The sequence below is a fragment of the Homo sapiens genome, chromosome 12 (genome assembly GCF_000001405.40).
Source record: "Homo sapiens chromosome 12, GRCh38.p14 Primary Assembly".
Taxonomy (NCBI): domain Eukaryota; kingdom Metazoa; phylum Chordata; class Mammalia; order Primates; family Hominidae; genus Homo; species Homo sapiens.
In genome coordinates, this window is record NC_000012.12 from 22,640,602 (window position 1) to 22,655,659 (window position 15,058).

Below are 15,058 nucleotides of genomic sequence, written 5' to 3' on the forward strand. Positions count from 1 at the left end.
GCTACATTTACGAGCTTACGGTGTGCCAAGCACTGTTCTAAGTACTTTTATGTGTATCAACTTACTAATCTTCAGAACAATGCAAGAAGTAGGTTCTAATGTACTGATTTTATATATGAGATAGAGAGACACAGAGGGTTGGTGACTTGCCTAAGGTTACTCGGTTTGTATGTAGCAGAGCTGGGATTCAAACTCAAACTCTGGCTCTGTAGCTCATCCTGTCAGCTACTACTATCTGAAATACTTGACAAATAGTGCAGGATAAACCCCATTAAAAGGAGCTCACTAAGATTTATATTTTGTCTCAACTCTACTGAGGTGGAATTTTATATTTCTAGTATATATTTAATATAGTATATATAGCTAGAGTGTGTATAGTGTATTTTAATAGTATATTTTAGATGATTCAGCACATTGAGTTACTTGTGGTTTATGTATGAGGTGGGAACAATGCAAAGGTAAGAAGTATTACCTGTACATCTTTAAACTGAAGTCATTGTTCTCCAGCCAGAGACCAGTAGAAACTCACCTGTAGCTGAAGAAGTTGGGTTTATTACTCACTGCAGTAAGGGAGAACTACATTGAGAATGGTGGGGATTTGTCTGGTGATTTGGGGGAGGGTTCGAGGTAACGGTATTCTCTGGATTGGATGGTGTCAGGAAGGAGGTGGGACAAATCTATGACTTATGGGCATCTTAATCGTACCTAGAACGCTGAAGAAATGAAGCAGGCCCAAAGTTTGACTGGAAAAGAGCAGCAGTCACTCATATTAGCCAGGATAAGGAGGTATTTGGTAATTTTTGTCATTTGGACAAAGTTCCTATTTTTTTCTACCTTCAGACATGATTACAGAGTGGTTTTGTTGTTTTCTTGACCCATTATGATCACAGAGTAACCCTATCTAATGTTGAATGTTGATGTTCTGTAAAACAGTTTATGTTCAGCATGACTTCAAGGCCTAGTGAGTGCCAGGCCGTTGTTTTGCTACTAATTTTTCCACTAGTAAACCAGGTTCATTGCTGTAAAACTACAAGTTAGTAAACATACCTAAGTCAAAAGAAAAAAGGTTAAATTACTTATGGAGAAACAAGAAAATAAAGAAACAAGATTTAAACTACCTAGTATCTTTGTAGACAAATAAATATTTATACATAAAATATTTTGATAAATGCGAGATTATATTATTCACATATCTTTTTATTCTAGCGGTTTCTTTCCAGTTATGTAGCTGTTGTGCAATACAGAAAGTTAGGGCTAGTGTCATTGGAGTTGTGACACTGTGTCTTCTTCATAAATGTTTAATTAGTGTTCAGTAATTTGTATTGAGTAATCATATCTGTCTCTAGCCCTTAAATGCACACATCTTTTTATGTTTGTACAAATAAATGTATAATATAGCATGGTCAATTTAGGGATAATAAGAGAATGCAATTTTTATAAGCTAGATGAAGACATTAATGTTGGTAGCTATACGAGTTCTAGTGTTTAAGTATTAAGTACCTACTGTTTGCTGTGAAGATTCAGAAAATGGAGATGATGATTTCTGGAGTTTGAGGAGCCTAGAGTTTCTTTCATTATAAGCATTTCAGAATGTTAAAAGGTTTCTCAATCTTTATTACCGTATTTGAAATATTTTATCTATGACATATGAAGAAGTTACAGAACAGCATGTGTGAATTGATAGTGGCATTGTGATAAGAAATAACATGTTTTTCAATGCAGATTTTAATAAAATTATGATTATGATAAAAAATAGTCATTTTAAGTATATATTCTTCCTGACAGTGTCTTTCATACAGTCTTTTTGAAATCTAGGTGGAAGGCAACACTAGTATGCACATTTTTAAAAAATGGGGATATTCAAAATAAGTCCCTTTATACTAGTTCATGAAGTTTTACTGCATTATGTGAATAAAGGTAACAGCTAAGCCCTATATATAATAAAAACCATTATATAAACACTGGTTAGTTGTATATTATTAATAGTTTTAGTAAATACTTTCACATCTTTTTTCATATGTCATTTAATATCATATCAATCTAATTGAGATAGAAATATTTACCCTCTTTCTTAAGCATTAGTTAAATGTATATACATACTTTTAAAACTTCTGTTCTTTTTTTCTATTCTTGCCCCATTGACATGAAAAAAATGTTCTGAATTCTTGCTTTCGCTTTTCTCTTTTCTTCCTTTGTTCCACTTGGGAGCCTTCAAAAGTTCTGAATTATAATAGAAGTGAAGTGTTAGTTCTAGTGTCAGATTAATACAGAGGAAAATGAAAATTACAATTTTTAATAGACTTTTATAACTAGTATTGCTAATTACCTGTTTCCTTTTGAAATACACCGTCTGTGCTCAAATCTAAAAAAGGATTTGAAGTACTTGACTTAAAGGTCTTGACAAGCCCCAAAAGTCTTATTTAAAAAATACCATAGAAATCTCTACTTACCTCTTTTTTCTTCCTGTAAGGTTGCGTTTTTGTTTGTAGCCATAGTGGTTAAATTATAATAGTCAAAACTGTTATACTCTGAGTGTATAACACAATGTTTAATGCATGTTTTGTTAGATAATCTTTAAAATTAATATATAAAATTGAGTTTTTAGTAAGTTGGAGATTTGCCATAATGTAAATTATGGTAGATTATATTTGTATATTTATTAACAAATCTATGAATGTTGTTAAGGACTTCTATAAGTAATGAACCATACTAGGAATAGGGCAGTGTTCCCATTCTCAGAGACTTTCCAATCTGTTGGACATAGGAGAGATTCCCTGTATGTGTACATTCCCTGTATGTGTACACACACACATACACACAAATGTGCAAAGATTGTGATACAAGGCAGACTGTGAGAAATGGCAGGTATCAAGAAAGTTATATAGAAATATTGAAGACAGAATGTATAATTAACACTTTGGATCAAGGAAGGCATGTTATATGAATTAAGGGCAACATGTTAACATTAGTGGTTCTCTTTGTTTAAATATAGAATTAAAATTATAGATGTTAGATAAAATTGTATTCAAAGATGGTTCTTTTATGTGAAGAAGTTGGTGTTTTCTTTAATTAGTATTTAACTCATGATTTTCAATTTATCTCCTGTTCTCTAAAGATAGATAATTGCTTTTTTTCCCATTTTTAAAAAAAATTTTTGGCAGCTCTTCACAGATGGAATCACAAATAAACTTATTGGCTGTTACGTGGGAAACACCATGGAGGATGTAGTCCTGGTGAGAATTTATGGCAATAAGACTGAGTTATTAGTCGATCGAGATGAGGAAGTAAAGAGTTTTCGAGTGTTGCAGGCTCATGGGTGTGCACCACAACTCTACTGTACCTTCAATAATGGACTATGCTATGAATTTATACAAGGAGAAGCACTGGATCCAAAGCATGTCTGCAACCCAGCCATTTTCAGGTACATTTTCTTTTCTGAATTTTTCCTTTTGAAAAATAGGGCATTTAAGTGCATTAAGGAAATATTTTTTAAAATTGTCTTTGTTTGAGCAACTATTTGGTTAACTTAGAAACTTTCTTTAGCTAGGGTTTTTGTTTTTGTTCTTGTTTTCCCTAAAAAGATAGAAGTAAATTTCTTTATATTTGCAGTTTATCATCGTTGACTCTTTGCAAAGGAAAAACTACAAGATGTTTTGGATTAACCGGCTGCAGAGGGTCAAGGCTTCTGCTTAGTTTTTTCTAGTTAGTGTTTGAGTTGAAGTGTTATACATTTCTTACTGCCGATTGCTTATTACTTAATTGTTCATGTTTTCAGAGTTCTTGCCTATTAAAATTTTATTAATTTGGTTAACAATTCTTTGTTCTTTACGTTGTTCATTATTTAATTTAATATATTATGTTTTCTATAAAGAATAATGTCATATATGCTTGATCATTTTTCCAAAATTGCCAGCTTTAAAAATTCTCTTTCTGCTCTTGAAAACTCTAGAAAATGGTCTGGATTTGAAAACAGCATTCATAGGTTAGACCAGCAGTTTGCAACCATTTTGGTCTCAAGACCTCTTTATAGCTCTTTGGGCTCTTTGTTTTAATATTTGATTAATGTTTATCAATATTTACCATATTAGATATTAAAACAAATTTTTTAGAATACAAGAATATCAAGTACATGTCCTGTTAGCTATCATTGTGATGAAATTATCACATATCATATAACCTCTTGAAAGGTACACTGTACACTTGTGAAAGAGTGAGAATGAGAAAGGTAAATAACGTCTTGTGAAAATAGTTTCAACTTTACAAAGCTCCTGAAAGGATTTCGGATGGCCCGGGGCTCCCTGGATCATAGGTTAAGAATTGCTAAGTTAATACACTGACAAAAATGGAATGTACCAGTAACACTTATCTATTGTAAACCTGTATCAAATAATATATTAAAATATTTTGTCATAGAAATCTGTTCAAACCCTAGTTTTTAGCCATCACATATATTTTCTTCTTTTACATGAGTCTAGTCTTTAGATGTATTAAAAGATTCTGATTAATACATTTGTGTTTACTGTGTGTCAATTGTTTTGTGGTCTTTAGGCTTGCATGTATTTATAAATCCTCAATCTTGTTCACAATGGTTGACAAATACCTATATAACAGCATTAAAAATTAATAGATGCATAGATTGGATCCCCCCAAAGCTGGTTTTGTATATATACAAAAACATATTTCATGAAGTTCCTAGAGAAGGGCCACATGAGTTTCCTTGTAACTAAAGCAGAGAGTAAAACATGATTGATCTATTTCAGTAACCTCAAATAGAAACAGTAAAATAATTATAGTTTTTGATCAAGAACAGTGAAGGTTTGTCAAGGCTGACTTTGGTATTTGATACAATGTTATAAACATGTTTTCAGTAAAAATATCCTTTTCTATACTTTTTGGTTAGATCTACTTACTTATTATTTCTTTCCCAAATGCCAAAGCCTTTGTTTATTTTTTCTCTACTTAGATCTTTTTAAAAATATATTTTTTATTGATATATCATAGTTGTACATATTTTTGTGGTACATGTGATATTTTGATACATGTATACACTGTATAATGATCAAGTTAGAGTAATTGGTGTATCTATCATCTCAGACATTTTTTTTTGGGTTGGGACATTACAGTTCTTCTTTTCTAGCTATTTTGAAATATACAATAAATTATTGTTAACTATAATTTCCTTGCTGTATTATTGAATGCTAGAACTTATTCCTCTGATTTAACTGTACGTTCATACCCATTAACCAACTTCTTTTCATCACCCCCCTTCCTAGATTTACTCAGAATATGTATAAGTGATACTAATGTAGGCATATACACATTTCATAAAAAGAATATACTGTGTTAGAAACCAAACATCAATACTCTGAATTCTTTGACAGCTGGCTTGTAATAAGTGATACATTGAATTGCCCCACAGTTTTGCAGAGGAGAAGCAGAGTGGAGGCCGAGAAAGTAAGCAAAAGAAGATGACACTGAAGAACCCTGTATGATAGGATATTGTTAGTTGGCATTATGAATAGTAACATTTGCTATTTAATTTGTTTCGCTGTTAAATTTATTTCAGACTGTATTCTAATTCCTATGGCATTTCTTATTGTTAAGCAGGTCTTAGTCACTATAAAACAGAAAATATGAAAAGAAAAGCTAAGGGAGGGAAAGGCAAGTTTTGATTAACAAAACGTCTGAGTTACACATGATTTTAAATAGGAGTGTGGTTTTATTTTTTTCAAATATGTACGGTGAAATACTTCTAAAATACCAAGTAAGCAGATCAGTAGACCATGGTCTGGAGCCCCAAGAAGAGGTTAAAGATGTAAATTTGGGATGATGTGCTTATTTAGCCCCTTTTAAATGAATTTTATATTCTGTGGTTAAAAAGAATCTTTGATTTGTTAATTTAATAGGGACTTACTGACAATTTGGGGTTAGTTGTCACATTTTGATTAATCCTTATGAGCTTTAATGTTTGAATATAATAATAAACTTTTAAGACACTATTGATTGTTAGGTCAGCCTAATAATATGCATGCAGTGATCTGGACTGATTGATCAGTAAATGTTGATGAGCGCTTTAGATCAAAGTCCACAGTACTTTCTTGAATTGGCTCATTCAACCATAGCTGTATGCTTATATTATGATTATGACGAAGGTATCTCATTTGAATGTAAAAGGCTTATGTTTATGTTTGGACTAGTCTGGGGGAGGAAGAAGAATCTAAACTGTCCTTGCTGTCTTAGTAATTTACAGTTTGTGACACAGTAACCTTGAGGGAAAAATAACCTAAATATTGTACAAAGAAGAACAGAAAAGGCTTTCAGAGAAAGTACAGGTAGTTGATTTTGGGCATACATAGGAAATTAGTATGTTTCACTGTGATCACATTTGAACTGAACTTTGAAGGACAAGGTAGCCTGTAGGAGGTGAGGAATGGTATAGGTAAAGACAATGAGCTATAGTGCCTGACGGGTAATTCCACTTATGGAAATTTATCATTCTCTGTTTTATTTGAGCTTTTTTGTAGCAATCAGTTATTACGGACACCTTCAGAAAATTTTTTAAAATTCAAAAGTGTTTAGAAATTTTTTCAAATTTCTTATCAGATATTTCTTAGAAATTTGCCTCTTGTCAAGAACCTGGCTGAAGTTTAATGACAAACCATCCAGTAACAGACATAATGGAAGAAATGCAGTTTCAAATCAATTGTTGCAAGTTTATCAAAGAGCATACTGAGGGTACCGTAGTGGAACTGGCACCTTGTGGGTTGTGTGCATGTACAGTTGGTAGTGTTTTCTTTTGGAAATCAAAAGGACAATATATAATAACTCAAAAGAAAGTTATATGCTGTATTTCTGGCAGCAACAATTAAAAGTCTCTTATATTCAGATATAACTAAGGTACCTCAACACAAAGGAGAATTATGCTACTGTTGAAATGTAACTTTTTGACTATTGTCTAATACATGCAAAATGGCTGATGCAGGGCAACAGGAAAAAATCAGCTTAAAAAATAGCTTAACTGTGGCTACAATTAGGCAGTAATTTGCTCATGCAAAAACTCAAAGGGGATATATAAAAATGAAATACTATGGGATGGTAAGATTAAAGATTATTTTTCGTTTCAAAATATTTTTGTTATTGTTAGAATACATTTAATTTTTTAAAAGCTTTCAAGAGAAGTAACAATTAGTGTTAGTGAATATTTGAGGAATTCTCTGAAGCCTTGAGGGTTTGAAACATTTGGCTTTAACGAGTATGGAATTTTAAAGCAGCGTTTGACTTGATGTTACTGTAGTAAAACCTCGCTTACTGAGACAAGGTAGGAGAAGGACCAATATATGATAGTGAAAATCAGATATCTTTTAAATGATTTTTAATTACCTTCTTATATATACAAAACATAAATTAATGATTATTAAATAATGCTAAGTTATCTGAATGAAGAGATTTTCCTTTTAAAGATTTTAGTTTTTTAGTGCATTTTTGATTCACAGCAAAACTGAGGGGAAGGTACAGAGATTTCCCAGATCCCCTCCTTCCTCCACAGACAACCTCCCCCATTATCAATATCAGAGTGGTACTTTTGTTATAATACATAAACCTATATTGATGCACCATTATCACCCAAAGTCCACAGTTTACATTAGCGTACACTCTTGGTGATGTACATTCTGTGGGTTTGGGCAAATATATAATGCATGTATCCACTGTTAGTAGTATCATACAGAGGAGTTTCACTGCTCTAAAAAAATCCTCTGTGCTCTGCCTATTCATCCCTCTTTTCCCCTTAACCAGTGGCAACCACTGATCTTTTTACTGCTTCCACAGTTTTGCCTTTTTCAGAATGTCATATATTTGGAGTCATTTAATTAAGTAGCCTCATTAGATTGGCTTCTTTGACTTAGTAATATGCATTTGTTTCTTCCATGTCTTTTTATGGCTTATTGGCAGATTTCTTTTTAGGGTTCTGAATAATGTTTCATTGGATATGCACCAAATCTATTTTGTTCATTCAACTACTGAAGGACATTTTGGTTGCTTCCAAGTTTTAGCAATTATGAATTAAGCTGCTATAAGAATCCCTGTGCAAATTTTAATGTAGACATACAAATTTTTAACTCCTTTGGGTAAATGCTGACGAGCATGATTGCTGGATTGTATGGTAAGAGTATATTTAGTTTTGTAATAAACCGCCGAACTGTTTCCCAGAATGGCTGTGCTATTTTACATTTCCACTAGCAATGAATGAGAGTTGCTGTTGCTCCACATCCTCACCAGCATTGGGTGTTATAAGTGTTTTGGATTTTGGCCATTCTAATAGATATATAGTGGTATCTTACTGTTTTTGTTTGCATTTCCCTGATATGTGATATGGAATATCTTTTCATATGCTTATTTACTCATCTGTGTATCTTTGATGAAATGTCTGATAAGGTATTTGGTCCATTTTTAAATTGGGTTGTTTGTGTTCTTATTGCTGAATTTTAAGAGCTATTTGTGTATTTTGGATAATAATCCATTATTGGATATGGGTTTTGCAAATATTTTCTTCCAATCTGTGCTTTATCTTTTTATTCTCTTGACAGTGTCTTTTGCAGAGTAGAAAGTTTTAATTTTAATGAAGTCCAGCTTATCTGTTCTTCCTTTCATGGATCATGCCTTTGGTGTCATTTTTAAAAAGTCATTGCCAAATCCAGGGTCATCTACATTTTCTCCTATGTTATCTTCTCATGGAATTTTAGTTTTGGATTTTACATTTAGGTCTGTAATCCATTTTGACAGAATTTTAATGAAGAGTGTAAGGTCTATGTCTAGATTCATGTTTTTGCACGTGAAGGTCCAGTTGTTCAGCACAATTTATTGAAAAGTCTATCTTTTCTCCATTATATTTCCTATGCTCCTTTTCAAAAATCAGTTGACTGTATTTATATGGGTCTGTTTCTGGGTTCTCTATTCTGTTTCTTCATCTGTTTGTCTAATCTTTTGCAGATATCACACTACCTTAATTGCTATAGCTTTATGGTAAGTCTTGAAATCAGGTAGTGTTAGTCCTCCAACTTGTTCTTGTCTTTCAATATTGTGTTGGCTATTCTGGGCCTTTTGCTTCTCCTTATAAACTTTAGTTTTTACATTTTAAAATGGACTTTTTAAGAATTTATTTTTAATTGACAAATAATAATTGTGTATATTTGGGATACAGTATACATGTAAACTTTAGAATCAGTTTTTCAATATCACAAAATAACTTGCTGGGATTTTGATAGGAATTGCACTGAATCTGTATATCAAATTGGGAAGAACTGACATCTTGGCAGTATTGAGTCTTTTTATCCGTGAACATGGAATATCTCTTATTTAGTTATTTGGTTTCTTTTATCAGAGTTTTATAGTCTTCCTCATATAAATCTTGTACATAGTTTGTTAGATTTATACCTAAGTATTGTATTTTTGGGGGTGTTACTGTAAAAGGAGTGCATTTTATTTTCAATTTTCACATATTCATTACTGGTATGTAGGAAAGCAATTGACTTTCATATTTTTTTAATCCTGCAAGCTTGCTATAATTGCTCATTCCGCGAGGTTTTTTTGGTCCATTCTTTTGGATTTTCTCCATAGAAAATCATGTTATCTATGAACAAAGACAGTTTTTTTTTTTTCTTACCTCTTATTTTTTTTCTTGTCTTAATGTGTTAGCTAGGACTTTCAGTACAGTGTTAAAAAGGATTGGTGAAAAGTGATGTTCTTTCTTTATTCCTGATCTTAGTGGGAAATCTTCAAATTACGTGTCATTAAGTAGGATGTTAGCTGTAGTTTTTTTTGTAGATATTCTTTATCAGATTGAAGATACTCTCTCTTTATTCCTAGTTTGCTGAGTTTTTATGATAATGAGTGCTAGATTTTGCAAAATGCTTTTTCTGCACATGTCGATAGGTTCATGTGATTTTTCTTTTTTAGTCTGTTAATGTATTGGATTACATTAATGAATTTTCAAATATTGAACCAGCCTTGTATACCTGAGATAATCCCACTTGGTCACAGTGTATAATTTCTTTTTATATATTGTTGGATTTGATTTGCTTGTGTTTTGTGTCAGCAAATATATTATATAAAAAATAAACATTTAAAAATAATCTTTTAAATAAATAGGAAATATAAAAATGTAGCATTTTCTGTTGTATATAATATTTGCTAGCAGAAAACAATTGAGGTATACTTGATTAAAGTGTTTTTAAGAATTCTTTTTCAATGAGCATTTTATTTAGTTAATAAAAATTTGATTTGTTTATAGTTGTTCTGAAAAAATTTGATTATGGTAAATGCTACATAAAATTTACCATTGAAGCAGCATTTTTATCTGGGGTAATACCTGAGGTTGGTTGTTCCACAACTACAGAAAACTAGGATACAGACAACCAGAGTGAGGTTAAGAGTGGAAGTTTAATAGGCAAAAGAAAGAGAAGAGCTCTCTGTGCAGAGAGGGGTCCCAGAGAAAATGGGTTGCCAGTTCTGTGGTGTAATGTACAGGGTTTTATAGATTAACTTGAGGAGGCAGTGTTTGATTTGCAGAGGGCACGGAAGATTGGTCGGACCAGGCGTGCCTTTTGCATAAAGCATGTAGAAGCTGGTGGCCCCACTTTAATCTTTTATTATGCAGATGGTTCTCTACTTGGCCAGTGCCATGTTGCCTGCCTCTTTTACTAGACACATGGTGACAAAGAAAAGGGAAGATGAAGGCTCCGTTGTGAACATACCTGACTTCCAGGTAGCCCTTTTCTACTGGCACAGCTGCTGGCATTCACTCATGCAAGCTTCTAGCTTGCTTATCTATGTCTGCAGCTTGAATTTTCAGGCTGCTCTTTGTTAGAAGTGATTTGGGGGCTGCTTTCTATTAAAAGGGAGTCCTTACCGAGAACTCCTTTACCCTCACTATCTGCCTAAATCATTTCTTTCTGGCTCCAGTTGTCACCATCTTAACCATTTTTTAAAAAATACAGCTCAATAGTGTTATTGCATTCACATGGTTGTGCAACTAATTTCCTAACATATTTTTTTTTTATAATGTAAAACTACAATTCTATCCCTTTTTTTTTTTTTTTTTTTTGAGACAGAGTCTCGCCATGTCGCCCAGCCTGGTGTGCAGTGGTGCCTCCCAGGTTCAAGTGCAATCTCTGCCTCCCAGGTTCAAGTGATTCTCCTGCATCAGCCTCTCGAGTAGCTGGGACTATAGGTGCCCACCACCTCGCCCTGCCGAGTTTTGTATTTTTTAGTAGAGACGGGTTTCACCATGTTGGCCAGGCTGGTCTCGAACTCCAGACCTCAGGTGATCTGCCCACCTCGGCCTCCCAAAATGCTGGGATTACAGGCGTGAGCCACCACGCCTGGCCAATTCTATGCTTTTTAAACAACAAATCTTCTTTCCTTCCTCCAGCCCCTGGCAACCGTCATCTACTTTCTATCCCTAGGAATTTGACTACTTAGGTACATCATGTTAGTGGAATCATGTAATGTTTGTCTTTTTGTGACTGGCTTATTTCACTTAGCATGAACACTTCAAGGTTCATTTATGTTGTATAGCATGTGTCAGAATTTTCATTTTCTTTCAAGGCTTAATAATATTCCTTTGTATTTATATACTACGTTTTGTTTATTCATCCATGGATGTATACTTGGGCAATAGTCACTTTTGGCTATTGTGAATAATGTTGCTGTGAACATGGATATGTAAATATGTTTTTGATACCCTGCTTTCAGTTCTTTCGGGTGAATGCCCAGAAGTGGAATTGCTAGATCATAATGGTAATTCTGGTTTTAATTATTTGAGGAACCACCATACTGTTTTCTGTAATAGCTGCACCATTTTATATTCCCATCAACAGTGCACAAGGGCACCAGTTTCTTTACATTCTTACCAATAGTTATTTTATTTTTGTAGTAACCATTCTAATGGATATGAGGTGGTATCACATTGTGCTTTTGATTTGCGTTTGCCTAATGAGTAGTAATGTTGAACATATGCTTATTGACCATTTGTTTACTTTTTCTAGAGAAACACCTATTCAAGTCCTTTGCCTATTTTCTCATGGGGTTGTAATTTTTGTTGTTGAGTTGTGGGAGTTTGTTATATGTTCTGAATATTAACTCCTTGTTAAATATATGATTTCCAAATATTTTATCTCATTCTGCAGGTTTCTTTTTCAGTCTGTTGATTGTGTCCTTTGGTGCGTAGTTTTTAATTTTGATGCGGTAGAGTTTATTTTTACTTTTGTTGCCTGTGCTTTTGGTGTCATATCCAAGAAATCATTGCCAAGTATCCAGTGTGATGAAGGTTTCCCCCTATGTTTTCTCATGAGAGTTTTAATAGTTTTAGTTCTTACATTTAGATCTTTGGTCCATCTTGAGTTAGTTTTCATATATGGTGTAAGGAAAGGGTCCAGCTTCATTCTTTTGGATGTGGATATCTAGTTTTCCCAGTACATTTTGTTGTCCTTTCCTCATTGTTCTTCTTTTCCCGTTGTTGTCCTTTCCTCATTTAAGGTTCTTGGCACCCTTGTTGAATACTGTTTGTATAATTGTGGGTTTGTTTTTGGGTTCTCTGCTCTATTCCATTTATCTGTATGTTTTTCTTTGTGACAGCACCATAATGTTTTGATTACAGTGGCTTTGTGTAATAAGTTTTGAAATCAGGAAGTGAAAGACTTCCAACTTTACTCTTCTTTTTCAATGTTATTTTAGCTACTCGGGTCCCTTGAGAGTCCATGAATTTTAGGATAGCTTTTTCTTTTTCTGCAAAAATTGCCTTTGGGATTTTGGTAGGGATTGCACTGAATCTGTGGATCACTTTTGGTGGTATTGACATATTAACAATATTGTTTTCCAATCCATGAACATGGGGTGTCTTTCTGTTTATTTGTGTATTTAATTTTTTTCAGCAGTGTTTTATTATTTTCAGTTTACAAGTCTTTCACCTCCTCAATTACGGTTATTCCTGAGTATTTATTTCTTTTCGATGCTATCGTAAATGGAATTGTTTTCTTAATTTCCTTTCTAGATTGTTCATTGTTAGTGTAAAAGTGCAACTGATTTTTGCGTATTGATTTTCTGTTCTGCAACTGCTGAATTTGATTTTTAGTAAAAACTGTAAATTTTCTTAAAATCATTCTTTACAAATTTCATGCTTTGTTCAGTCCTTATTTATAAAAAATTTTAGATGAGTATGGAACTTGTGATTAGGCCATAGTTAATTTTTTAAATCTCTTCACAGAGCCTAGTTTTTAAGTATATAGGTGGCTGCCATGGTTACAATTGAAGTGTACTTATTTCCATGAGAAGATTTGTGTTGTAAATCAACTTCCTTCCTTTCTGCTATGATCTGAATATTTGTGTTCCCTCAAAAACCTTTTGTTGAGACCTGATTCCAATGAAATAGTATTAAGAGGTGTGTCCCTTTGGCAATATTAGTCATGGGGTAGAGCTCTCATGAATGGCATTAATGCCCTTATAAAAGAGGCCCAAAGAAATTTACTTGCCCCTTCTACCATGTGAAAATGCAGCAAGAAGGTGCCATCTGTAAGGAACATAACTATGAGAAAGAAATTTATGTCATTTATAAGCTACCTTGTTTATGGCATTTTTGTTAAAGCAGCCTGAAAGGACTAAGACACTTTACATGTTAATTTTGTTATATAAAAGATAAAAAAGACCAGTAATTCTGAGACCTGTAGATACTGGCTTGAATTCTGGAGTGTGAGAAGAAGATGATGTGGCTTTATTATCAAAGAATAGGCAGTATTTTAAATGGATGCTCATTTGGTTTTTGTATAAGAAAACATTACTTTTGTTACAATTATTAGTACATGAGATTATTAAAAATCCAAAATAGATTTTAATCCACCTGACAATAAACCTAATAGTGGAAGACTTCTCTGGTCTTATGGTGAATTTCTAAATGTATTCCAGGTCTGTTGCTAAGATAACTGACTCTAATTTAGAATATACCTGTTAAGTACCTCCTCTAAGTTCTGACCACAAGAACAGATCAAAGAATAAGACAGTCTTTGTCCCTTGAAGGATATCTTAGTGGTTGTATTTATCAATTGTATTAATAAAGCAATCTTTATTATTATTATTGCTATTCTATTTTGAATTGTATAGGAAGATGCTAACATTTTAATTAACAATATATCATCTTATGTGGCAGATGTTTTAAAATTATATAAAAGTAATTCTCATTTTAGCTGTAATTTTAGAAATTTGTTCAAAGGAATAATTGTATTTGATACATTTTTAATAAAAATCACTATACTTGGAAAAATTTTACCTCTGTCACTCCATGACTTGTGTGCATTCAATCTTTCTATTGTAACTTGTAGGAAGTTTTTGTTTTTGAAACGTAGTTTCACTCTTGTTACCCACGTTGGAGTACAATTGGTGAGATCTCAGCTCACTGAACCTCCCCCTTGGGTTCAAGCGATTCTCCTGCCTCAGCCTCTCTAGTAGCTGGGATTACAGGTGCCTGCCACCACATCCGGCTAATTTTTTCTATTTTTAGTAGAGACGGGGTTTCACCATGTTGGCCAGGTTGGTCTCGAACTCCTTACCTCAGGTGATTCATCCACCTTGGCCTCCCAAAGTGTTGGGATTACAGGCGTGAGCCACTGCGCCCGGCCAACTTGTAGGAAGTTAGTGTGAAATGGCAAGTTAGTCTATAGGATATTTGGGGTTTGTTTGTTTTTTTTTTTTTTTTTTTTTTTTCGAGACGGAGTCTCGCTCTTGTTGCCCAGGCTGGAGTGCAGTGGCATGATATCAGCTCACTGCAACCTCCGCCGCCTGGGTTCAAGCAATTCTTCTGCCTCAGCCTCCTGAGCAGCTGGGATTACAGGCACGTATCACCACACCAGGCTACTTTTTGTACTTTTAGTAGAGACAGGGTTTTGCCATGTTGGCCAGGCTGGTCTTGAACTCCTGACCTCAGGTGATCTACCTGCCTCGGCCTTCCAAAGTGCTGGGATTACAGGCATGAGCCACCATGCCCAGCCTATAGGATATTTGTATATGAATC

At 33.6% G+C, this 15,058-nt stretch overlaps 1 protein-coding gene across 6 annotated transcripts in view; it reads left to right on the plus strand.

Annotated features, from left to right (window-relative positions):
• Nucleotides 1-15,058, plus strand: part of ETNK1 (ethanolamine kinase 1) — a 65,495-nt gene that overhangs the window by 15,431 nt on the left and 35,006 nt on the right. For 5 of the 6 annotated variants that reach the window (NM_018638.5, XM_017019580.2, XM_047429100.1 and 2 more), the window contains exon 2: nucleotides 3,162-3,421. In NM_018638.5, the coding sequence (NP_061108.3) occupies nucleotides 3,162-3,421 (260 nt within the window). Of the gene's footprint in view, nucleotides 1-3,161; nucleotides 3,422-3,609; nucleotides 4,510-15,058 lie in introns of those variants that run through there. The other variant, NM_001039481.2, reaches the window with a different exon arrangement.